Here is a 26,005-nt window from a genome sequence, read left to right as displayed (position 1 = left end):
ATTAGCCAGGTGTGGCGGCACACGCCTGTGGTCCTAGCTACTCGGGAGACAGGAGAATCACTTGAACCCAGGAGGCAGAGGCTGCAGTGAGCCGAGATCATGCCACTGTACTCCAGCCTGGGTGACACAGCGAGACTCTGTCTCCAAAAAAAAAAAAAAAGATTGTTGGGGATTTTCGTATTGATTTATAGTAATCTTTCTTTAAAATTTAGCCCTTTGTTATTTGAGTGGCAAATATAATTCCTAGCTTTCTGTTTACTTTTGACTTTGTATATATTTATTTTTCCCATGTGAAAGTCTTTATTTTTATGTCATTAAATTTATCAATCTTATATTTTATGACTTTTGGCTTTTGTGGTATTCTTAGGCCTGCTGCACTCCATGAGTGTTTTCTTCTAGTACTATAATGTTTTTTGCTTTTTTTCTAAGTTTTCATTTTTTTCTTACATTTAACTCTGATTTATTGTGGGGTAAAGCATGTTATAGTGTTCCAGCTTCACTTTTTTTCTGAATGGCTATCCAGTTGTCCCAAGATCATTTGTTGAATAATTCATTTTCCCCCATTTGAAATGACACCTTTTCGTATACTAAAGTCCCAAGTCTCTTAGTTATAAAACAGTAATAAACCCTTGAAACAGGCATTTTCCTAAAATACATTTTGTTTAAGTAAGACAGTTTTCAAGATTAAAGAAATTAGAGGGGATAAATGTTAATTTTAGCCTTAGTTTTGTCCAATAGGTATTGTTTCAAATGTATGTAATTGGATGAGAAATTCAGCAGTTAGAAAAGCTAAGAGTCATCATTGTATATAAATGGCTGCTATTGGTGCCAAAATTATATATTGAATAACAGGGATGTCCTCTGGCATTCATTACAGGATGTTAAAATTGAGACACACACGTGGCCAGACCAGTGAATTAAGTGCCTCCTCTAATGAAGGGTATAATGTTAAAGCATTACTATCTTCAGTGTAAGGATGGACTAACCAGGGAGAAGTCACCAACCTCCAGTATAAGATTATTTTATTTAAATATTATTTTATGAATTCTGTTGGCAAATATAAACTACTTTGAATCTTGATGTCTCCTAATAAAGATTACCTTCACTTTTGTCCTTCCTGCTTAATTTTTAAAAGCCTGTTCTGCTTTAAAGACTTTCATTTGCTGGGACCAGATTTCTTGGATTGCTGACACATGTCCTTCTCTCTGTGCACCCACCCCCACCCCATCCCCACTTTTTTTCTTTAAAAGGAAAATATCTGGTTTATATCATGAAGAACTTTAAAAGCAGTAAGGAGAGAGTAGAATTATATGAGTATTTAATTATATATATAATATATATGAGTGAAGGGGTTAATCTTTAATTGTATAAATTCTAAAAAAAATTTTTAAATGACACTAGATAGGACATAGGCCTCAAAACAACAAAAAGTTGAAATATATTATTTTAGTTTTGTTTCTGTAAACACACTATATGGGGAGGGTGAGGGAGGGAAAGGAAACCCTAACAGATTTTCAGTTCTTGTTAACCATACTACACCATCACATAAGGTACAGGATTCTAGAGTCACTGTGTCAAATGTCAGAAAACTATTTCTCAATTATTTGAGCTTCTCTAAAATATAATATGGGCAAGATTGATGACATCCTGTAAATAAAAAAAAACTTAATTTAAGGCAAACTTACAAACAAAATGAGTTTCTCTAAAATTATTTAACTGCAGAGAAAACATGCCCTGTAGTGCTGTCTCTTGTGAATTTAGTTTTTATTTTTCATAAATTTACATTCTAACCGTGAGGTGTTGTTTTAGATGTAATAATAATTACACTTTTTCTAGTTTAAGACACCTAGGTGGAAGTACTGCTTTTTCATTTTCTGACGATGCACAGGGATTGATATTTGGGTTGGTTGAGTTTTAGATGTACAAACACACTGGTCTTATTTTGTATCACTGATGATCCACAGGGTTGGCTGCTATGTGCTGAACTTTCTGTTCTAGACTTTCTGCCAAGTACTTTATGCAAAACTCTGGTTTTAGTGAAACAGGTTTTATTGTTTTTAATCAGAGTTGTATTATAAGCTGTTGTTAGCTATGTAATGCTAACAGAAGAGTTGGTATGTATATACAGCCATGAAAACAAACCATCAAAACAAGCCTGTCTCTGTTCGACTGGTTGTTTTTCCCTCCCATTCCTTTAGCCTCAGTTCATTTTGTTTACTGCCAAAGGCCTGAGATGGTGTAATTTTCTTTTCTAGGAACTTGGCATTAGAATTCCTCGACCACTAGGACAGGGACCAAGCAGATTCATCCCAGAAAAGGAGGTACGTTGTTTGTGAAAGTACATAGTGAACTGTATGCTTTTAAGGAAGAGCTTTCATGACCCACATGTTGGCATCTGAAGAACTGTTGGTCAACAACATGTTTTAGTCAGAGTTGGTTGCAGTTAATCATTCTTTGGCAGTGAATCTGTGGGAATAAAAAGCTGTTGTACTTGTGTTGATTTCTAGTATTTCATGATGTGTTTTTAACACCCATATTTAATCAAGTAAAGCCAAGATTTGTTTTTGACCAGTGATACAACATCTGCTTATATTTAGATGTTGTTTAGGTGTGCCCATAACCTGAGTTACTTAGTCTTGACTGTCTCCACAGGCTGATATCAGTGCTAGATTGGATCTTTAATTCTATATATGTATAAAAGCATCTATGCTTTATTTTCATAAGAAGTGTATGCTATTAGTTAATTTTAGTTCTCCTTAAATTGAGTGAGAGTAGGCGGTTTTGTAAAGAAAGGCTTTAGTGTCTGTTTGCAAGCTCTGCAAATTTGATAATCTAAATCTGCTTCTTTATCTGGATTCTGGCCAACTCTGCAAGCAGCCTATCTAGATGGCCTTTAATGTTCAGCCTTTGTTGTTTATCCCCTACTATATAATATGTAACTGTTTATTCTTCTGTATCTTTCAACCAGTTGAGTTTAAATTTGTAACCCCTCTTTCTTAAGCCAGATTTAATCTGCTTCTAAATGATACTTAGAGTGTAGCGCATGTATATTTTCTTCCCTTAACACCAATTTACCATTTCAGTAACCATGGTTTTTCTCATTTATACAGATCCTCCAAGTGGGGAGTGAAGACGCACAGATGCATGCTTTATTTGCAGATTCTTTTGCTGCTTTGGGCCGTTTGGATAACATTACGTTAGTGATGGTTTTCCACCCACAATATTTAGAAAGTTTCTTAAAAACTCAGCACTATCTACTGCAAATGGATGGGCCGTTACCCCTACATTATCGTCACTACATTGGAATAATGGTTTGTAAACATTCAGTGAAAAATTGTTTTTGCCTATTTTTATTAATCTCTTTAAGAGACAGTTAATGCTTTAAACACAGGGATAAATACTTAGATTATGATATATAATATGATTCCTGTTGCACAGTCTCTGTTTTTCCTATTTTTAAATAAGTACGCTCTCAAGTATAACAGAAAAAGAAGCAAGTATTTATACATTGCTGAGAACCATTCTTCATTAAATAAGTAGAACACAAGTTCTGTTTCATTATTATAAATAGTTCACATTGACATAAGTGGTGCTTCCTGTTCAAGATGTAAATAATATTCCATTATTTTATGATTGGCACCTTAATTGAAGTTTCTTCTTAATCTGAAGTTCTGAAAGTATATAGATAAAATGTCTAAAGTTCAAATACTTTTATCAGATATTTTGTTTGTTCTTGGAATATTTCTAAGGTTCTTACAGTATTTGAATTTTTAAAATGTTTATATAAAAACTGCATTTCTGTAGTTTACGGAAAATTTGAAAACATACTAATAAACTTAATTAGCTCTTTTGCATGTTGTAAATAAAAAGGATATGTAGTTCAAGGTTTTAATATTTATAATTAGAATAATCTTTTTGTTTTAAGGCTGCGGCAAGACATCAGTGCTCCTACTTAGTGAACCTGCATGTAAATGATTTCCTTCATGTTGGTGGGGACCCCAAGTGGCTCAATGGTTTAGAGAATGCTCCTCAAAAACTACAGAATTTAGGAGAACTTAACAAAGTGTTAGCCCATAGACCTTGGCTTATTACCAAAGAACACATTGAGGTAAGCAGTGGGGTAATATATCTTGGGAGTCATTTCAGACTTTTTTAGAGCAGTTTTAGGATTACAGAAAAATCGCACAGAAAGTACAGAGAGTTCCTATTTTCTACCCCCTGAATCTCTTCCCACAGATGCACATTTTCTTCTGTTACAGCATTTCTGTGGTACATTTGCTGTAATTGATATATTACTAGTAACTCTATAGTTCACATTAGGGTTCAGTCTTTGCATTGTATCGTTCTACACATTTTGACAAATGCCTAATGTCACGCATCCATTACAATATCATATGGAATAGTTAGTACCCTAAAAATGCCCTGGGTTCCACCTGTTCATCCCTTTCCCCCCCTTTCCCCTTCCCCTAAACCCCTGCAACCACTCATCTTTTTATTGTTTCTATATAGTTTTGCCTTTTCCAGAATGTCATACAGCTGGAATCATACAAAAGTATGTAGCTTTTCAGACTGGCTTCTTTCATCTAGCAACATCCATTTAAGGCTTCTTCATGCTTTTTCACGACTTGATAGTTCATTTCTTTTTATCACTGAATAATTCTCTATTGTATAGTTATGCCATAGTTTGTTTATCCATTCACCTATTGAAGGACATCTTGGTTACTGCCAGTTTGGGGCAATTACGGATAAAGCTGCTGTAAACATTCATGTATAGGTTTTTGTTTCTTGTTTTTTGTCGACAAAAGTTTTCACCTCATTTGGATAAATAATTAGGTGTGCGATTTGTGGATAATACGGTAAGCCTACGTTTACCTTTGTAAGAAACTGTAAAACTCTTCCAAAGGGCAGTATCAGTTTGCATTCCCACCAGCAATGAAGCAGCATTCCTGTTGTCCCACATCTTGGCCAGCATTGGTGTCAGTGTTTTGGATTTCAGCCATTCTGATAAGTGTGAAGTGGCATCTCATTGTTATGCATCTTTATGTTACGTTTTAAATGCCATGTTAAGCTAGTTCTGGTTCTATTTATTAATAGAGATAATAGAGTAAAAGTAGATTGATGTTCTCTAAAATTGTCTACCATGCACTATAAATTCTTAGAGATGCATCTTTTGGTCTTATCTATTTCATAGAATAGATACTATTAGATAATTAAAGATATTATCAAGAAGATACAAGATTTGAATATATTAATACAATGCCTATTATATATTGTCAAGTAAGGAAAAATTATACAAGATTACAAAATAGATAATGAAGCAGAAGTGACACAGAATTGAATAGAAGAATTATAGAAGTTATATATAACTTTTTGATGATTTAGGAATATTTAATCAAGTTGTTCAAGCCACTATCTTAAAAATTCCTTGAGGAGGCCTTATAATAAACAAAGCACAGGCGTTTCACACAGCAGCTTCTACTTTTAAACACAAATTTATTACATTTGCTTTGAGATTTTGAACTAACAACACAGTAATTCATTCATAATCCAGCATCTGAAATACAGCAGCCACTTTTAAGCAAAATGCATTCTCTTACATTTTAAGTCAATATTTCAGAAAATCAAAATAATAGTGAATGTCTTAACAGATTATGTTAAGTTCTATTTGTGAATGCATATTCATAAAAATTAGCAAATTCTGGGTTCTACATGTTTCAAATGATAATTTTATGCTAGGCTTTGTATGATGACTCATGTTTTCAATAAATTAAATACTAAAATGAACTGTATACTTTTACCACACCCCAGTACAAAAATATATTCTTTTTTTTTTTCCCCCTAAGGGACTTTTAAAAGCTGAAGAGCACAGCTGGTCCCTTGCGGAATTGGTACATGCAGTAGTTTTACTCACACACTATCATTCTCTTGCCTCATTCACATTCGGCTGTGGAATCAGTCCAGAAATTCATTGTGATGGTGGCCACACATTCAGACCTCCTTCTGTTAGCAACTACTGCATCTGTGACATTACAAATGGCAATCACAGTGTGGATGAGATGCCGGTCAACTCAGCAGAAAATGTTTCTGTAAGTATTATTTGTCATGAGATTGTCATAAAACTAATCACAATAATTGCTGTTATATTATTTCTTCAGTTGGCTTCTTAGAAAAACCCACCCTGTTAAGACTGTGGAGATATTGGGCCCCTATATCTATTCATTCAGTAGGGTTTTATTGACTGCCTCACATGCTCATCACTAGTCTAGGTGATATACAACATTTTACAAAAGTGATGTACAAAACTCTAAGACCCTGTAGGAGTTTACATTTAGATAATTTTAGGATCAGGAGCCAACAGCATGTGTCCCGTCAGGACCAAATAATATTGATTGGCTACTGCAGTGACATGAGGGAAGGCTGAAAATAGTGTGGCCTGGTGGTGGAGACTTTTTGTGCCAATCACATTCTTCTCTTTTGCACAAAATAAACAGTCTGGCTTCTTAATTTTTTATATTTCAGAAGATTTAATCAACTTTGATCTAGAAATTTCTCTCTTCAGAATTCTTTTTCATGTTTAACTTTGCACCAATATAGAAGGTGATATCAGGTGAATGTAAATGTGTTAAAATGCTTTCACCTCTATTCCTTCTGTTCCTGGCTTTTATATATTCTTAGTTTTGTTACTCCTTTGAAACAGAGCAAGTTCAGTTTTCTATAAGCAAATTTTAATTCCTGTATATGATGAATCAAAATCTCCTTCTGCATTCTTTTGTTGTAGTGAAAAAGCAAGGGTTTATTTTATGCTTCAAAAATAAATTTTAGAAGCAGTACCACAGCCATCTGAATGCTTTACATGCATTTTCTGAGTTATATTATCCCTTTGAAATAGATTTGACAGGTTGAATTGCCTTTAATTTATATATTTGACTTCGGGCAAGTTACTGAATCTCAGTTCTTTTGTATCTAAATAAAAGTAAAACACAAAGTTATTGTGAGGTTTAAATGAAATGTCTCTAAAGAAGTAAAATGCCAAGTACAGCACTTAGCATTTGTCAGGTGCTAAATAAGAGGTAGCATTTACATATGGTGAAATTAGCACAAGAAAGAATAATTTTCCCAAGGTTGATCATAGGACTGCCAAAGACCATCAGTTTCACCCTCCTTTGAGCTGCCTAGATTCATGTTATAGGCCTGCATATGGCCACTGATTATTTTTCAAAGCTTGGCAGTCAGAAGAGGATCCAAGAGAGTATTCAGTTGCTAGAATGCTAGGAGATGGATTCTTCTCCTTGCTACCAATAATTTAGTACAAGGCTAAAGAAAAAAGTACTTGATTGTTTCTAGTTCTCCTTCTATTAAAAGAATGAATAGTGAAAGAAGATAATTTTTATTTCTCTAATAAGCTTCCTATTCCCAGGTAAGTTGGATACTTTTAGAAGGTTTATGGCCTACCCTGATGACACTTTGACAGTGAGCTGATATGGCTTGTTCTTTAGGTACATATCCAGTATCTGACTCAGCTCTTCAGATACAAATGGTAACAAACAAGAATTTTCCCTCCCTCCCAACCCTGGAAACTACTTATTCATTTCTTTACTCTCTCCATAGTTGTCTTTTCCAGAATGTTATATAGTTGGAATCATACAGTACGTAGCCTTTTCAGATTGGCTTCTTTCACTTAGTAATATACATTTAAATTTCTTCCATGTCTGTTCATGGCTTGATACCTAATTTCTTTTTAGCACTGAATAATTTTTCATTTTCTGGATGTAGCAACATTTCTTTATTCCAGTAGCTACTGAAGAACACATTGGTTGCTTCTAAGTGTTGGTGTATTATTCTGTTCTCATGCTGCTAATAAAGACATACCCAAGACTGGGTAATTTATAAAGGGAAAGAAAAAAGAGTTTTCTTACACAATTTTAACATTTTAATATTAAAATGAAATGCCATTTTTTTTTTAATCCCAACTTTAGCAGATCAGTGAAGGAACAAAGAAACCTACTTTGTTTCCTTTCCCTCTTATTTCAATATAATTTATCAAGAATTACCTTTCCTAAGAATACTTAAAATTTGGGCTCTTTAAGAGGAGAATAGGTAAACAAAATAAATTAGTGACAGATAATGTGAGTTGACAGAGATCTTTTTTAAACTTTGAGTCATCCTGTCATGAAACCTAATCCTTTTCAGCTATTTTTTATTTGGTTACTGACTCTATGTCAGGAATAACTGGGGAAAATGCATGCATGCACCACAAGAATCTTCAGTATCGTCATAGAAACACTTCCCATCATGAAAGTCTTAGAGAAAGGGCTTAATACTGGGCATTTCAGTATAACTGTTTGGATCAAAAGAAAATGTAAAGCACAAGTGATATAGATTGTCTCTTAATATAGAATTATCCTGAGAGTCATTCTCCAGCAAGTATTTCTTGAATATCTACTATGTACCAGGTACTATGCTAGGCTTGGGATATATACAAGTAAACCAAACAGATTTCCTACCTTTATGAAGGTTTGGTCTGGGAAGGGAGCCTGCATTAAATCAATATCATGCGAGTAACAATTATAAATTATGATTGGTCCTCTGAAGGAAAGAGGAGAGGGTTGTGTTAGAATAATTGGAGCTTGTGGGGTAAATGACAGTGTTTACAAGGATGTAAGCTGCTACCTGAAGGATCAATGGGTGGAAGCCAGGAAGAATGGAAGATAGAGGTCTTAAAAGCATTCCTGGCAAAATAAATTTATAAGGGGGGAAACATTAATTTTGTATGTATACATTGAGATTTGAGATTAAGACTTTTTTTTCTCTTTTTGAGACAAAGTCTCTCTCTGTTGTCCAGGCTGGAATACAGTGGCACAATCACAGCTCACTGCAGCCTTGAACTCCTCCTGGGCTCAAGTGATTCTCCTGCCTTGGTCTCCCAAAATGCTGGGATTACAGGCATGAGCCACTAGCCCAACCCAGACTTCTTAATATATTCATTTTATAAGAAAGGTATAAATTGCATAGATTTGATCTAGCTTTTGTAGCAAGAATGCAGCAGGGTATAGAAGTATAACCAGTTTGACTAGTGCAAAACCACTTGGCCAGTCCTTTGTCAGCCCCATTACTCTATGTGTGACACTGCTCTAGTCATCCCAGCAAGTGACAGCTGCCAGATCCATTTGCAGAGGTCAGGTGGCCAACTCCAGCCATGTAGACATCTTTCATGTTTAATTGGTAAATTGTAGAAATAAAGCTAATTATTAAAGATGATAGACACATTGACAATATGTATGCCCAGTGTACACAGTTGATGCAAAATCACTTATACTTTGTGTATCTTATTTATTTAAAGATTAAGCAAGTAGAAGTTATCTTACGCAGTTCTGCTTTAAATTGACAAGTAGTTTAAAACAGCATAAATGGTAATGACATTATTGCTAATTTTATAAGGTAAAAGCATTAGAATGTGTTCTTAAAATCATTTTTTTCCTTATATTTTAAAATCTGCATGTCTGTATTCCTAATAGGCCAAAGTAGTTTTTTATTCATTCATGTACATTAAAATTATAGGAATATTTTCCCTATATTCTACTAAGATATAAATTCTGGCCAGGTGCAGTGGCTCACGCCTGTAATCCCAGCACTTTGGAAGGCCGAGGTGGACAGATCACAAGGTCAGGAGATCGAGACCATTCCTGGCTAACACGGTGAAACCCCGTCTCTACTAAAAAACACAAAAAATTAGCCGGGCATGGTGGCAGGCACCTGTAGTCCCAGCTACTCGGGAGGCCGAGGCAGGAGAATGGCGTGAACCTGGGAGGTGGACCTTGCAGTGAGCCGAGATCGCGCCACTGCACTGCAGCCTGGGCAACAGAGCAAGACTCTGTCTCAAAAAAAAAAAAAAAAAAAAAAGATATAAATTCTTATGAGACAGACTTAAAAGATAATTCATATATATTCTATGTCTGCCACATGTAACATTAATTGTATTTTTTCTTCAGGTAAGTGATTCTTTCTTTGAGGTTGAAGCCCTCATGGAAAAGATGAGGCAGTTACAGGAATGTCGAGATGAAGAAGAGGCAAGTCAGGAAGAGATGGCTTCACGTTTTGAAATAGAAAAAAGAGAGAGTATGTTTGTCTTCTCTTCAGGTAAGAACAACCATTATATAGTCAATATAATTATTGCAAACTCAACTTTTTATTTAGAGAATTTAAATAACTTTTAAAGCATCAATCTAAATATGTCCTTCCTTTTAGAGAGACTATTGCATAGGTATTCCTATTTACAAATAATTTTTAAAGCAAGCAACTAAGAAAAGGTCATAAGTGAAAACATCCTAGACTAAGGGGGAGGACATTTAATTTGGATTCTGGCACTAAAATTACTTCTAATAAGCTTTGTGAACTTGGCTTAGTCACTTAACATATGAGTGCCCTCTTTTTTCTCTTTTTTTTTTTTTTTTTTTTTTTAAGAAACAGGGTCTTGCTTTGTTGCCAGGCTGAAGTGCAGTGGCGTGATTGTAGCTCACTGTAACCTGAGACTCTTAGGCTCAAGCGATCATCCTGCCTCAGCTTCCTGAGTAGCTAGGACTACAGACACATGCCACCATGCCTGCTTAATTTTTTAATTTTTTTTGTAGAGATGGGGTCTTGCTATATTGCCCACGCTTCTCTTCCTTAATATGAGGAAATAGTCCCAAGATTGCTTCTAGAGTTAAAATTCTGTGATTTTTTTGGGCACGGCAGTTTGTACCTGTAGTACCGGCTACTCAAGAAGCTGAGGTGGAAGGATCACCTTGAAGCCAGGCATTCCAGACTAGTTGGGGCAACATAGCAAGACTCCTGTCTCTAAAAAAACAACAACAAAAATTATATGATTTGTGAAAAGGAGATATTTATTAAATTACCAACAACCTAAATCCTCTATGTTTAACCTTTATCTATATGCAGGCTACAGGAGATAATATATAAACCAGGTAATTTAAAGGAGAAAAAGTTTATAAAGTGTCTCCAGATGTATTTTGACAATATAATAGAGTGGGAGAAAGAGCACCGAGTTTCTTAATAGCAAAGAAACAATCAAATTTGTTTAAATGGAGGTTGGATGTTCACTTTTTTTTCTTCCAGGAAAAATTTTTGTTTCCATGCCTAAAGATGTAGAGTTGTCATCTAATGATACACTTACATGAAACTATAATCTCATCAACTCCTAAACATGATGATAGTCCAGAAAGTCTTAGTCACAGTGCAGGCAGCACTGTAAAAATGTTAACCCATGGGATTTCTTTCTTTGATCATGTTACATATTATATGTCATTAATATTCAACAAAAATAATCTAAGTGCTAAATTTTGGAGCATAGCTGATTTTTGTAGTTATCTTAAAAATTATCCAAAAGTATGTTCATACTTTGAATAAGTCGAACCTAATACATATAAATTGGAATGGGAGGAGAGAGAAAGGATCTATGAAAGAGGCAATAAAAGGCATAGAGAATTCAACTATGAGTTTTCATTTTATAACAGAAAATCTCCTTTTACTACATTCTGTTTACTAGCAAGTAAACTACTTTGTATAATTGTAAGACTACTTTGGTTGATATTGGTCACTCAGTATCAGAGAAAGAGTTATGCCATTTTTACTCCTTTGGGTAAAATCAATTTTAACTAGCATCCTATTTTTAAAAACCTTTCAATGGCCTTTTTTCCCAGATGATGAAGAAGTTACACCAGCAAGAGCTGTATCTCGTCATTTTGAGGATACTAGTTATGGCTATAAAGATTTCTCTAGACATGGGATGCATGTTCCAACATTTCGTGTCCAGGTAAAATTGCAACTTGTATGCACATGATTGACTAGAAATATCTCAGTCTGACTTAAAATACAAAACAGCCACTTAGATTTGAGAACTATGCTAAGTGCTTTGCAGGCAGTATCTCGTCTTGTTTCAGAATAAAAGGTGAAAGACTGTTTCTAATTCATCCATGGAATCATACTGTAGTTTCAATGTATGTATATCTTAAAAATTTTATTGTGTAAATATTTAAATATGTAAGTATTTAATTCAGATGAGTTGATACTCCCAGCGTTCCCAAATATTGTTAGGGGCCAGTGTTAAATAATAACTATTTTACCAGAATTATGAAAATATTTGAGAACCATAAGATTTTGTTTCTTTGCTCAAAAAACTAAGGGGCCTGGCACAATGGCTCCCGCCTGTGATCCCAGCACCTTGGGAGGCTGAGGCAGGTGGATTGCCTGAGCCGAGGCATTCCACGACCAGCCTGGCCAACAAGGGGAAACCCTGTCTCCACAAAAAAAATAAAAATAAAAAATAAAATAAAATTAGCCAGGTGTGGTGGCATGTACCTGTGGTCCCATCTACTCAGGAGGCTGAGGTGGGAAGATCACTTGAGCCTGGAAGGTTGAGGCTGCGGTGAGTTGTGATGGAGCCACTGCACTCCAGCCTGGGTGACAGAGTGGGATCCTGTCTCAAAAAATAATAAATAAGCTAAGGGGCAAAATTTAGGCACAAGGAAGAGTTATAGAATAATTATGCAATAGATTAGAAATTGAAGACATCATGTGGGCTGGAAATTTTTTATGGAGGGACATTAGGATTTGAAGAATTTGGATGGTGAAAAGGGTATTGTAAGTAGAGGAGACTAGACAATAATTAAGCTTAGGTTGAGGGATAGAGTGAAGGAAGGAATTATAAAGAGATTGGTTGGCTGCTGAGAGCTTCAAGCTAAAGATTCCTACTTCTGATTAGTGGTGTATGTTTAAAATTGGTTAGGTGTGCCTTAAATGTCAAAGTAGTTTACATTAGATTATGTGGGGTTTGTAGGCTTTGACCAGCGTGATGGCATACTATCAAAGAGGTGTTTTTAGGAAAGCAACAAAGAAGTAGGGGCTTATTAAGTTTTGTTTCAGGTGGAAAGAAAGGAGGCAAGGAGATTTAATATAGGAAAACTAATTAGGAGACTCAGTTAATAGGGCTAAAAGGCAGAAGTGCAGGTAGGAGAAGGAATGGGTGATAGATGTGTTTAATTAAAAATTCACAAAATTTGGCCAGATCTGGTGGCTCCCACGTGTAATCCCAGCACTTTGAGAGACCAAGATGGGAAAATCACTGAGGCCAAGCATTCAAGACTAGCATGGGCAGCAAAACAAGACCCTATCTCTACAAATAATTTTAAAAGTAGCCAAGCAAGGTGGCCTGTGCCTATAGTTCCAGTTACTCAGGAGGCTGAGGCAGGGAGGATCGCTTGAGCCCAGCAGTTGGAGACTGCAGTGAGCTGTGATCATACCATTGTACTCTAGCCTGGACAACATAGTGAGACCTTGTCTCTTAAAACACACACACACACACACACACACACTCATAATTTGAAGACCACTTGAATGGCTGCAGCAATGGAAAAGGAGAGGGGACTCCCAAGCTGGTCACATCTGGGGGGCTGAGTGGAGAGAGAGTGAAAGACATAAAGGCCAATGTGTAAGGGGAAGAGACTATTAGTTTTTTTTTGTTGTTGTTTTTTTTTGAGATGAGACTATTAGTTTTTAAACTCACTGAGTTATAAAACACAACCTTTTGCATGTTGCAGTATGGGAATTGAAAAAAAGATTGGAGTGTAAGTGAAGCTGGGAGTTAGGGATAAAAGCCAGTTGGATTGTCAGCCAAATGACAATGATTTTTACCATGCTACAGAGCTATAGATATAGAACTGTACTTGACCACATTTATTCACATTTGTTCTATTCCCTGTATTTAGGACTATTGCTGGGAAGATCATGGTTATTCTTTGGTAAATCGCCTTTATCCAGATGTGGGACAGTTGATTGATGAAAAATTTCACATTGCTTACAATCTTACTTATAATACAATGGCAATGCACAAAGATGTTGATACCTCAATGCTTAGACGGGCAATTTGGAACTATATTCACTGCATGTTTGGAATAAGGTTAGTCTTCTTTCTGTGTTTATAAAGAGATGTTTTCCTCTGGGCCAAATTATTCAAGTGCTTGGAGCGCACATGCACATAGACACACACATAATCAAAACCCATCCCCTCCCCAATAACTTATTTTTATGCTATTTATGCTTCAAAGAACCACTTTATTGCAGCTTAGTTTTTTCTTCTCTTTCCTAGCTAGGCAGGAGGGAGAGTTAGGGACCTTGACAAGAATTGAATGACAGCTGCCTCCAGGAAAGGGAGGACAAGCAAGCTGGTCCTAGAACAAAGTTTGTAACTGAACACCTTTAGTATCTTTTCTCTTCATATAATCTATCTCTTGATACACTTATGTTTCTACCTCCTTGGAAATCAGTACCCTTATATTGCCCCTCTGGCTGTTCTTAGGCTCCTTCTGAGGAGTACTTGCTCTCATAATACGTAATCAAAATGCAAAACTTTCATGTCCTTGCTGTTAGGTTTTCAGCCATGTTACTATGTTACATTGAAAATGCAGTCATTGTATACCACCTTCTCACACATGCACACAAACTCTGAGCTACAGTGCTTACTAGTTAACTATTTTTGCTGTAAAATCAGGCTTTCTATTATCAGAGACTCTGGTCAAAACCTACAAACCCTATTTAATCTACTCTAAACGGATCTGGCATTTGAAGTACAGCTGACCAACTTTAAACTAATTTCCCACTAATCAGTAGCCAGACTATTGACTTTAGCCTCCTCAATGGTGGTAGAACCAGCTTTGCAAGACCTTTGTCCCCTTTCCACTGAAAACTCAATAGGAGACTTCAGTGCCTATGTGATTGGAAATCCATTACCCAGTGGAGCAACGCACACAACTGGTGCATGCAGCCATCTTGGCTTAAAGCAGGATAGGCTCTCCTAAGTATAGACCATCCTTCTCCTCGCAGCCCCTGCCTTTTTTCTCATTTGACCCCAGAAACTCCTAGAAACATGAGTAAAGTAATTCTAATTATTTTTATTTTATTTATTTATACAAGTAAATTTCTCTATATAGAGAGATATCTATCTCTCTCTATCTCTCTCTATATATAGATATCTCTAGATCTAGAGATCTAGATCTAGAGATATCTCTATCTCTATAGATATCTCTCTATATATATATAGATATCTCTAGATCTAGAGATATATATACAGATATTTCTATATCTCTAGATATAGAGATGTATCTAGATCTAGATATATATCTCTAGATCTAGAGATATCTATCTATATATAGAGAGAGAGAAAGTACTAGTACCAATAACAAATGTAATTAATTTGTTTCTTAATTTCGATAATACTCAAAATCTGTTTTCAGAATTTGTTCAGCCAGGCGCGGTGGCTCACGCCCATAATCCCAGCACTTTGGGAAGCCAAGGCGGGCAGATCACTTGAGGTCAGGAGTTTTAGACTAGCCTGGCCAATATGGTGATACCCTGTCTCTACTAAAAATACAAAAATTGGCTGGGCATGGTGGCACACACCTGTAATCCTAGCTTCTCGGGAGGCTGAGGTGAGAGAATCGCTTGAACCCAGGAAGCAGAGGTTGCAATAAGCCAAGATAGCACCACTGCACTCCAGCCTGGGCGACAGGGCAAGACTCCGTCTCAATAATAGTTTGTTCCTCAGTGTGGCTACGTGTTCATGATTGCAGATATACACTATTGCTTGGTACCCAGTGCTATGTTAATATTGTCAGCTTTCAGGAATGATTTACTTGGGTAGTAGAAAAAATGTTATGTTAGTCTCCCTAAGTACTCTGTTTCTTATCCCTTTATACTCACTTATTCATCTGCAGTTATAAAGCTCTATCATTTTTGGGGACAGCTGCCTACACAAAGAGAGAAAAAATACAGTATTAACTATTGATGTGTATACTTTTGTAAGATGAAAACAGGTTATACACTGAAAATATCATAATTCTCATTATGTCTTTCAACAGATATGATGATTATGACTATGGTGAAATTAACCAGCTATTGGATCGTAGCTTTAAAGTTTATATCAAAACTGTTGTTTGCACTCCTGAAAAGGTTACCAAAAGAATGTATGATAGCTTCTGGAGGCAGTTCAAGCACTCTGAGAAGGTATGTGCCTATTGTGGCTTATTTACTTTGTAACTTAGCAATGATTCGTAGTCTCCTTCACCTAACCTAATGGTGCTGAAACCCTTTCCATCACCCCTACCAACCCAAAGAAAAACATTCCAGGACAGCTGTCTCAGGTACCCCTTCAGAAGGGAACCTGATTATGTTGATAGAGTAAAAGAATAAAGACAGGGAACACAGGTGGGCTGGCCCGTCTTCAGAAGTGCTGGCATGGCTGTCAGCACATAGAAGACTGTTTTATAAAAGCTGTGTATAGGTAGAAGTGTCTGTTCTCTTTGAAACATCTTTATAGAAATTACTGAATAATGATTTGGCAGGGGAAGTTGCTATTCTGATAAAACAGTGTCTAGATTTTCTGACATGTAACAAACCTCCAAGAAACATGATAAAATATAAATGAAAGCTCAATCTATCCAAAAAGAATATTAGGCCAGGTATGGTGGCTCACACCTGTAATCCCAGCACTTGGGGAGGCCAAGGCAGGCTGATCACTTAAGATCAGGAGTTCAAGACCAGACTGTCCAACATGGTGATACTAAAAATACCAAAAAATTAGTTGGACATAGTGGCATGCACCTGTATTCCCAGCTACATGGGAAGCTGAGGCATGAGAATCGCTTGAACCCAGGAGGTGGAGGTTGTAGTGAGCCAAGATCGTGCCACTGCACCCGAGCCTGGGAAAGAGTGAAAGTGTGCATCAAAAAAAAAAAAAAAAGATAGCTGCTGTTTTGAGAAATTTATAATCTGTTCAACAAACCCAAGGCTAAGTTATGCTGTACTACATAGGAAGTGTAGGAAGTGTACTTATTTTATGTGTTCATTAGATTCACTGAAAAACTGATTGTGAATGCTTGTAACCCTTCCTTATATGATGTTGTATTTTATATTCAGGTTCATGTTAATCTGCTTCTTATAGAAGCTAGGATGCAAGCAGAACTCCTTTATGCTCTGAGAGCCATTACCCGCTATATGACCTGATGCCTTTCCTTCATTAAAGATGATTCTGGAATGATCAGCAGATATAGTCTACAAGGGGGAAGGTACTAAGCCCCAGGACCAATGGTAGACAAAATAATTCAGAAATCCATTGTGCCATGATTCCTTTAGTTTCTGCTATTTTTCTGTGGAAAACCACTGCTGGCACAAGCAGTGACTGTTTGGCAGCTTCAAGTTTAGAGCTGTGAAGACAGGCTGCCATTCACAGTATTTTGCTTTTTGACAGTACAAGATGCTGTGTAACTGTTTTAATACAGCAAATAGTAACTCTCCAAATCCTGTTGCTTTTATGTTAAATAAGATAACAAGAATTGGAGCATGCAAAGAATGGGACTTGGATAATGACTTAAGCTTTATATGTAAAGAATTTTAGAAGATCTTGGTGCTGCTATTCCTGCTGGAGGAATGAATAGATGGCTGTTTCAGTTAAGCTATTAGTAATAAAAGTGAACATTGCTACTATCTGAGCCTACATACATAACTTGTGTGATTTCAAATTAAACTTGCATTATGTGTTAATTTTCTTGCATCTAAAAAAGCATAGAATTCCTACTCACACAGCTCAGCAACAACCATTTTGATGGTAACAGTTAATTTCTTTCATTAGTTTTTTAAATTCAGGGTTCTGGATATTAAATTAAAATGGCATTCTTAAAGATTTTCTTCAAAAAGCAATCCTAAATGAAAGTGTGTAAATTATAAGAAGCTGGCGATCTTTTGATATGCTGTTTCACAGGATCCTGACACTGGAGGGCAGCTGTCTTGTGCATTACTTGTGTTTCCAGCACCAAAGTTGTGGGACATGTTGCTGTAGACTGCTGCGCAGTCCTGGGTGCATTCAGTCTCTCTGCCTCTGCCTGCCTCCTGGTCCCCACTTTAAAGGCTGTGCAGCTCCTTAAATAATAAAGCTGGAAAATATTTTTAGTCGGGTTATCAAATTTGATTTACAAAAACGCTAACTTTGTTTGAAATGCAAACAGGTTTGAAAATATGTATTAAGTACTTTGTATTCTGGAAGCGTGAATTGCTTTTGAAGTCTGTCAGTATTACTGGTATTTTTAAATAAAGAAGAATTTTTCTCCAATTTTATTTGCTGTCTCAATCTCTTAAAAAATCATGACTTCACTATTAGTAATAATTTTGAGTTTCTATCTACTTTCATAAGCCAAGTACATTCACACTTAAATGGCAAAACAACACTTGAAGCCATTTTGAAACATACAAAGAGGAGTGGACTTTCTTTAGAATCTTATCTGAGACCATTTTTATCTTGGAAATGACTGGTATGGCCCTATGCCTGCTCTCTTTTCAACTGTTTTAGAGTTCCAATAGAATTTTAAGAATTACTAAAAAGAAGGATTCATTAGGGAGAGACTACAGAACAAAAAATGACACTCATCAGACAAGTAGAAATAGCTCTAAGTTTAACTGAAGCTGTTGTGATGATAACTCTGTTAGTTACTCCTCAAAACATTTATTGAGCTCAATCTAGTGCCTGCCTACAAATGTATGGGGTAGTGTGGAAGTAGGGGTTGGGAAGGATCAATTTTGAACAGAGGTGGTACCTGTCCTCAAGGATATTTACTCTCATGAGAAGACAAGACTATAACCTTAGCTAGGAATAGAGTATTATTATCTTCAATATGTTTTATATTTAAAGAAACTTACTTATAAGTGCATTACTCATTGAATATGCATCATGCCTTTGTCCTCTTCTGCCTGCTGCTGAGTTCTCTCACCAGAGCAATACAATTGAACCCAAGAAGATAGTTAAAATTTTACTTATCCCATTTCTGCTCTTTGTTCCTCCTCTTGAAAATACAAAATTTCTAGTAGAGATTCTAATCAGCAGTAGAGTGATCACAAAACAAGATCAACTAGAATGCATTTAGTCCACTGGAACTTATAATCACTTAGAAATTGAAATCAAAATTTTAATGAGTTAAAAAATATGTTTATACCTAAAGTAATAAAAGTGCATGTGATACAAAGTTAATGTTTCAATGCCTTCCATTTAGCAGGTGCTTCCTGTTGGAGTGTTTTCTCAAAACTAAACACACAGGATTTCTAATGTTACTATATAATCTTTGAAACCAGTAGTTTCCAAAATAATTAGGGAAGGTACATTACACTGGGGATATCAAAACCTTCCCCAACCAGAGGAAAATTTTCTTCTAAAATAATCATGAGAAGATTTCTGGTTGAGGGTCCCAGGATTCAAGAGTTAAAATCTTGAGTTGTTTTGGCCGTATTTGGGAAAATTTTTTATTAGGCCAAACTTTATCATCTCTAAGAATGAGATTGATTTTGATACAGACCACCAGGAGATAAGTAGATAAGTAAAACTTGTTGGATAAGCACTTTTTATCAATATACTCTGAAATTTTATTAGCATATTCATATATGTGAATATCATACATGAATCAGAAATGTTACTAGCATATTTGTATATGTGAATATCATATATGAATCATCATACTAGTTTTTTGCTAACACTGGTAGATGGGAGTAATGTCAGCAAGATGATGGACTTGGGAACTCCACGTCCTCATTCTCCCAGAGACGCTGAGTTAACAATATATGGGCCAGAATATCTTTGTGAGAACTCTAGAAACCAATTGGGAAACTGCAGCATTTAGGCAAATGCAAAGCCAGGAAAAGGCCGCACCAAAAGGCTAGGAAAGTTTGTGGATTTTGCTCACCCTAGCTCTTCCCCAGCAGAGGATGGTGTGATCAAGAGGAAGCATAAATTCAGCAAAGTTGTAGGATACAAAGTCAGCACACAAAAATCAGTTGTATTTCTATACACTAACAATGAATGATCCAAAAAAATTTAACAATTCCATTTACAATAGGATCAAAAAGAATAAAATACTTAGGAATAAACCTAACCAAGGGGATATGTGATGGCTGAATGTTTGTGTCTTCCCCTACATTTGTATGTTGATGTATGTTGTATGCTGAAATGTAATCCTCAATGTGGTGATATTAAAAAAGTAGGCCTTTGGGAGGTGATAAGATCAAGAGGGCTCTGCTCTCATGAATGGGATTAGTGCCCTTTAATAGAGGTCTGGGGAGCTCCCCTTCTACCATGAAAGGACACAGCTAGAGTGTGCCATCTGTGAGGAAGAAAACACTCACTAGGCACTAAATCCTTGATATCGGACTTCCCAGCCTCCAAAACTGTGAGCAATAAATTTCTGTTATCTATAAATTACCCAGTCTAAGGTATTTTGTTACAGTAGCCTGAACAGACTAAGACAAAAGACTTACACATTGAAAACTAAAGCAGCAGTCCCCAACCTTTTTGGCACCAGGGACTGGTTTCATGGAAGACAGTTTTTCCATGGACCCAGGGTGGACGGTGCAGTGGGGGATGGTTTCAGGATAAAACTGTTCCACCTCAGATCATCAGGTATTAGATTCTTACAAGGAGTGCACAACCCACATCCCTCACATGCACAGTTCACAATAGGGTCAAGCTCCTATGAAAATCCAGTGCTGCAGCTGATCAGACAGGAGGCAGAGCTCAGGCAGTAATGCTTGCTTGCCCACAACTCACCTCCTGCTGTGCAGCCAGTTCCTAACAGGCCACAGACTAGGACTGGTCCATGGCCCATGGGTTGGGGACCCCTGCTGTAAAGCATTACTAAGAAATTAAAGACACAAATAAATGGAAAGACATCTCATGGTCACCCAGAGTGACCTGTAGATTCAATGCAATCTCTATCAAAATCCCAATGGCATTTTTCACGGAAGTAGAGAATTCCATGCCAAAATTCATCTAGAATCTTCAATGGACCCTGAATAGCCAAAACAATCTTGAAAAAGAACAAAGTTGGAGGTCTCACACTCCCTGATTTCAAAACATATTGCAAAGCAACAGTAATCAAAATAATGTGGAACTGGCACAAAGTCAAACATACAGGCCAATGGAATAGGGTCCAGAAATAAATTCTCACATATATGGCCAAATCATCTTTAGCAAAGGTACCAAGACCACTCAATAAGGACAGGACAGTCTCTTTAACAAATGGTGCTAGGAAAACTAGATATGCACATGCAAAAGAATGAAGTTGGACCCTTATATATTAAAAAACTCAAAGACCTAAATGTAAGACTGACAACTGTAAAACTAGATGAAAACACGGGGAAAGTTTCACAACATTGGATTTGGCAATGATTTCTTAGATATGACACAGAAATTATGGGCAACAAAAGAAAAAAAGACCATTGGAATTACATCAGACTTAAAAATGTCTGTGCATCAAAGGACATAATCAACAGAGTGAAAAGGCAACCTATGGGATAGGAGAAAATATTTACAAATCATATATTTGATAAGAGGTTAATATCCAGAATATATGAAGAATTCCTACAACTCAAAAAACCAAATAACTAAAAAATGGGGCTGGGAGTGGTGGCTCATGCCTGTAATCCCAGCAGTTTGGGAGGCCGAGGCAGGCAGATCATGAGGTCAGGAGATCGAGACCATCCTGGCCAACATAGGAAAACCCCCGTCTCTACACAAAAATTAGCTGGGCATGGTGGTGTGCACCGGTAACCCACTGGGATTACTCTGGAGGCTGAGGCAGGAGAATGGCTTGAACCTGGGAAGCGGAGATTGCAGTGAGCTGAGATCGCGCCACCGTACTCCATGCACTCCAGCATGGTGACAGAGCGAGACTTCATCTCCAAAAAAAAAAAAAAAAAGAAAAGTCCAAAGACTTGAATAGACATTTCTCCAAAGATGATAATACAAATGACCAACAAACAAAAATTATGAAAAGGTGCTCAGCCTGACTAATTATAAAAAATGTAAATCAATATTACAAAGACACATTACCTCACACTCATCAGGGTGGCTACTATTTTTAAAACTCCCAAAATAACAAGTGTTGGTGAGGATGTGGGGAAATTGGAACACTTATGTGGCATTGGTAACAATGTAAAATGATAATCACCACTTAAACACGATGGAGGTTCCTCAAAAAGTTAAAAATAGAATTCCCATATGATACAGCAATTCCACTTGCTGTGGACTGAATATTTGCATTCCCCCAAAATTCACATGTTGAAGCCCTGTGGTCTTTGGGAAGTAATTAGGTCTTGAGGGTGGAGCCCTCATGAGTGGCAGTAAACCCTTATAAGGAGAGACAGGTGAGAGATGATCTCTCTCTCCACCATGTGAGGATAGAGCAAAAAGGCAGCCCTCTGCAAACCAGGAAGAGGGCCTTGACCACAAACTGAACTGGCCAGCACCTTGACTTTGGACTTCCTAGTCTTAAGAACTGTGAGGAATGAACTTTTGTTAAGTCACCCAAACTATATTTTTTGTTATCTCAGCTTGAACTAAGACATCACTTCTGAGTATATACACAAAAGAACTGAAAACAAGATCTCAAAGAGAGATTTGCAAACCTATATTCATGGCAACATTATTCACAATACCCATGATATGGAGGCAACCCAAATGTTCATTGACAGATGAATGGATAAACAAAATGTGGTATACTCATAGAATGGAATATTATTCAGTCTTAAAAAGGAAAGAAATCAGCAGGGCACAGGTGGCTCACACCTGTAATCCCAGCACTTTGGGAGGCTGAGGCAGGTGGATCACTTGAGGCCTGGAGTTCAAGACCAGCCTGGCCAACATGGTGAAACCCCATCTCTACTAAAAATACAAAAATTAGCCAGGCATGGTGGTGCATGCCTGTAATCCCAGCTACTTGGAAGGCTGAGCAGGAGAATCACTTGAACCCGGGAAGCGGAGGTTGCAGTGAGCCGAGATCATGCCATTGCACTCCAGCTTGGGTAACAGAGACTGTTCTAAGACTCTGTCTCAGGGAAGAAAAAAAAAAAAAGTAAGGAAATCCTATCACAGGCAACAACATGGATGAACCTTGATAGTATTATGCTAAGTGAAATAAACCAGTCACACACACACAACTATTGTATGGCTCCACTTATATAAGATATCAAGTAGTCAAATTCATAGAAATGGAAAGTATTAATAGAATGATGGTTGCCAAGAGCTGGTGGGGGTGAAAATGGGGAGTTGTTTGGTGCGTATAGCGTCAGTTTACAAGATGAAAGAGTTCTAGAGATCTGTTGCAGAACAATGTGAATATACTTAAACTACTGAACTGTACACTTAAAATGGTTAAAATGGTAGATTTTACGTGTTTTTTTAATCACAGGTTTTGTTTAAGTAGATGGTTCCAAATGGTCCAGCTTATATGTGGGTCTGAGGGGAGCAGCTAAGTATGGAAGAGAATAGGTATAATGGGATCCCACCATGAGTTACTATATATTAGTCATAAATATGAAGGGGGCTGTTTGGCGAGGGGAGAGTTTGACTTTTTTTTCCACTAAAAGTAGAATAAATAGCTTGCTATGGATGAAATACATTATATCTGTGAATGTTTTAGATAAATTAGCCCCTGTGACTTAAACTGATTTCATCTGTTGGAGTGAATCTACCAGCATATACTTACATTATGGACTACAATAAGGCGAGTGTCCCTAGAGGATTTTGCTGAGCCACATCAGGTATGAACCCTAGACTAGAACCATTCTCAGAAAGTCTATTTGTTCCTGGAAATGTAGGTTTTTTTGTTTTGTTTTGTTTTTTTGAGACAGTCTTGTGCTGCTGCCCAGGCTATAGTGCAGTGGCACAATCTCGGCTTACTGCAACCTCCACCTCCGAGGTTCAAGAGATTTTCATGAAACAAAGCCACTGGGAAGTTTGAACTGGGTGGAGCCCACCACAGCTTAGCAAGGCTGCTGTGGCCAGACTGCCTCTCTAGATTCCTCCTCTCTGGGCAGGGCATCTCTGAAAAAAAGGCAGCAGGCCCAGTCAGGGACTAATAGATAAAACCCCCATCTCCCTGGGACAGAGCACATGGGGGAAGGGGCGGCTGTGGGTGCAGTGTCAGCAAACTTAAACGTCCCTGCCTGCTGGCTCTGAAGAGAGCAGCAGATCTCCCAGCAGGCGTTCTCCTCAGGAGAACTCCTGAGGAGGAGCAGACTGCCTCCTCAAGTGGTTCCCTGGCCACCCGCGTATCCTGACTGGGAGACACCTCCCAGTAGGAACCAACAGATACTTCATACGGGAGAGCTCTGGCTGGCATCTGGCAGGTACCCCTCTGGGACAAAGCTTCCAGAGGAAGGAATAGGCAGCAATATTTGCTGTTCTGCAGCCTCCGCTGATGACACCCAGGCAAACAGGGTCTATAGTGGACCTCCAGCAAACTTCAGCAGAACTGCAGCAGAGGGGCCTGTTAGAAGGAAAACTAACAAACAGAAAGGAATAGTATCAACATCAACAAAAAGGACGTCCACTCAGAGACCTCACCTGAAGGACACCAACATCAAAGACCAAAGGTAGGTAAATCCACGAAGATGGGGAGAAACCAGCACAAAAAGCCTTAAAATTCCAAAAACAAGAATGCCTCTTCTCCTCCAAAAGATCACGACTCCTTGCCAGCAAGGGAACAAAACTGGACGGAGAATGAGTTTGACAAATTGACAGAAATAGGCTTCAGAAGGTGGGTAATAACATACTCCTCCGAGCTAAAGGAGCATGTTCTAATCCAATGCAAGTAAGCTAAGAACCCTGAAAAAAGGTTAGATGAATTGCTAACTAGAATAAGTTTATAGAAGAACATGAACGACCTGATGGAACTGAAAAACACAGCACAAGAACTTCGTGAAGCATACACAAGTATCAATAGCCATATCTATCAAGCAGAAGAAAGGATATCAGAGATTGAAGATCAACTCAATGAAATAAAGCAAGAAAACAAGATTAGAGAAAAAAGAATGAAAAGAAACGAACAAAGCCTGCAAGAAGTAGGGGACTATGTGAAAAGACCAAATCTACGTCTGATTGGTGTATCTGAAAGTGACGGGGAAAATGGAACCGAGTTGGAAAATACTCTTCAGGATATTAACCAGGAGAACTTCCCCAATCTAGCAAGGCAGGCCAACATTCAAATTCAGGAAATACAGAGAGCACCACAAAGATACTCCTCGAAAAGAGCAACCCCAAGACACATAATCGGCAGATTCACCAAGGTTGAAATGAAGGAAAAAATGTTATGGGCAGCCAGAGAGAAAGGTCGGATTACCCACAAAGGGAAGCCCTTCAGACTAACAGCGGATCTCTCGGCAGAAACGCTACAAGCCAGAAGAGAGTGGGGCCAATATTCAACATTCTTAAAGAAAAGAATTTTCAACCCAGAATTTCATATCCAGCCACACTGAGCTTCATAGGTGAAGGAGAAATAAAATCCTTTACAGACAAGCAAATGCTGAGAGATTGTGTCACCACCAGGCCTCCCTTACAAGAACTCCTGAAGGAAGCACTAAACGTGGAAAGGAACAACCGGTACCAGCCACAGCAAAAACATACCAAATTGTAAAGACCATTGATGCTACAAAGAAACTGCAACAACGGGCAAAATAACCAGCTATCATCATAATGACAGGATCAAATTCACACATAACAACATTAACCTTAAATGTAAACAGGTTAAATGTCCCAATTAAAAGACACAGACTGGCAAATTGGATATAGAGTCAAGACCCATTGGTATGCTGTATTCAGGAGACCCATCTGATGTGGAAAGACACACACAGGCTCAAAATAAAGGGATAGAGGAATATTTACCAAGCAAACAGAAAGAAAAAAAAAAAGCAGGGGTTGCAATCCTACCCTCTGATAAAACAGACTTTAAACCAATACAGAACAAAAGAGACAAAGAAGGGCATTACCTAATGGTAAAGGGATCAATGCAACAAGAAGAACTAACTGTCCTAAATATGTACGCATCAATACAGGAGCACCCAGATTCATAAAGCAAGTTCTTAGAGACCTACAAAGAGACTTAGACTCCCACACTATAATAGTCAGAGACTTTAACAC

At 37.4% G+C, this 26,005-nt stretch overlaps 2 protein-coding genes across 5 annotated transcripts in view, besides 1 other annotated feature; one reads left to right on the top strand and one right to left on the bottom strand.

The window, feature by feature from the left end:
• SESN1 (sestrin 1) overlaps positions 1-20,290 on the top strand; it is a 110,538-nt gene extending 90,248 nt beyond the window's left edge. For all 3 annotated transcript variants that reach the window (NM_014454.3, NM_001199933.2, NM_001199934.2), the window contains exons 2-10: positions 2,256-2,321; positions 3,111-3,311; positions 3,926-4,108; positions 5,844-6,086; positions 9,990-10,137; positions 11,700-11,812; positions 13,764-13,954; positions 15,912-16,056; positions 16,969-20,290. In NM_014454.3, the coding sequence (NP_055269.1) occupies positions 2,256-2,321; positions 3,111-3,311; positions 3,926-4,108; positions 5,844-6,086; positions 9,990-10,137; positions 11,700-11,812; positions 13,764-13,954; positions 15,912-16,056; positions 16,969-17,055 (1,377 nt within the window). In that variant the 3' untranslated portion in view covers positions 17,056-20,290. The remainder of the gene's footprint in view (positions 1-2,255; positions 2,322-3,110; positions 3,312-3,925; positions 4,109-5,843; positions 6,087-9,989; positions 10,138-11,699; positions 11,813-13,763; positions 13,955-15,911; positions 16,057-16,968) is intronic.
• Positions 1-26,005, bottom strand: part of ARMC2 (armadillo repeat containing 2) — a 204,619-nt gene that overhangs the window by 48,442 nt on the left and 130,172 nt on the right. The window contains exon 18 of one of the 2 annotated variants that reach the window (XM_011536168.4): positions 13,502-15,800. The exons of the other annotated variant lie outside the window; for it this stretch is intronic. Within the exon in view, the coding sequence (XP_011534470.1) occupies positions 15,781-15,800 (20 nt within the window). The 3' untranslated portion in view covers positions 13,502-15,780. Of the gene's footprint in view, positions 1-13,501; positions 15,801-26,005 lie in introns of those variants that run through there. 2 annotated transcript variants of the gene reach the window in all.
• Positions 22,186-22,386: a silencer, noted in NCBI's record as "peak6016 fragment used in MPRA reporter construct". NCBI's record gives its function as "represses an SCP1 promoter by STARR-seq MPRAs in K562 erythroleukemia cells {active_cell/tissue: K562}" and the evidence as "EXISTENCE:reporter gene assay evidence [ECO:0000049][PMID:32103011]".

The sequence above is a fragment of the Homo sapiens genome, chromosome 6 (genome assembly GCF_000001405.40).
Source record: "Homo sapiens chromosome 6, GRCh38.p14 Primary Assembly".
Classification (NCBI taxonomy): domain Eukaryota; kingdom Metazoa; phylum Chordata; class Mammalia; order Primates; family Hominidae; genus Homo; species Homo sapiens.
The sequence above is the reverse complement of the archived record's forward strand: the minus strand, read 5'-3'. Positions and strand labels throughout refer to the sequence as shown.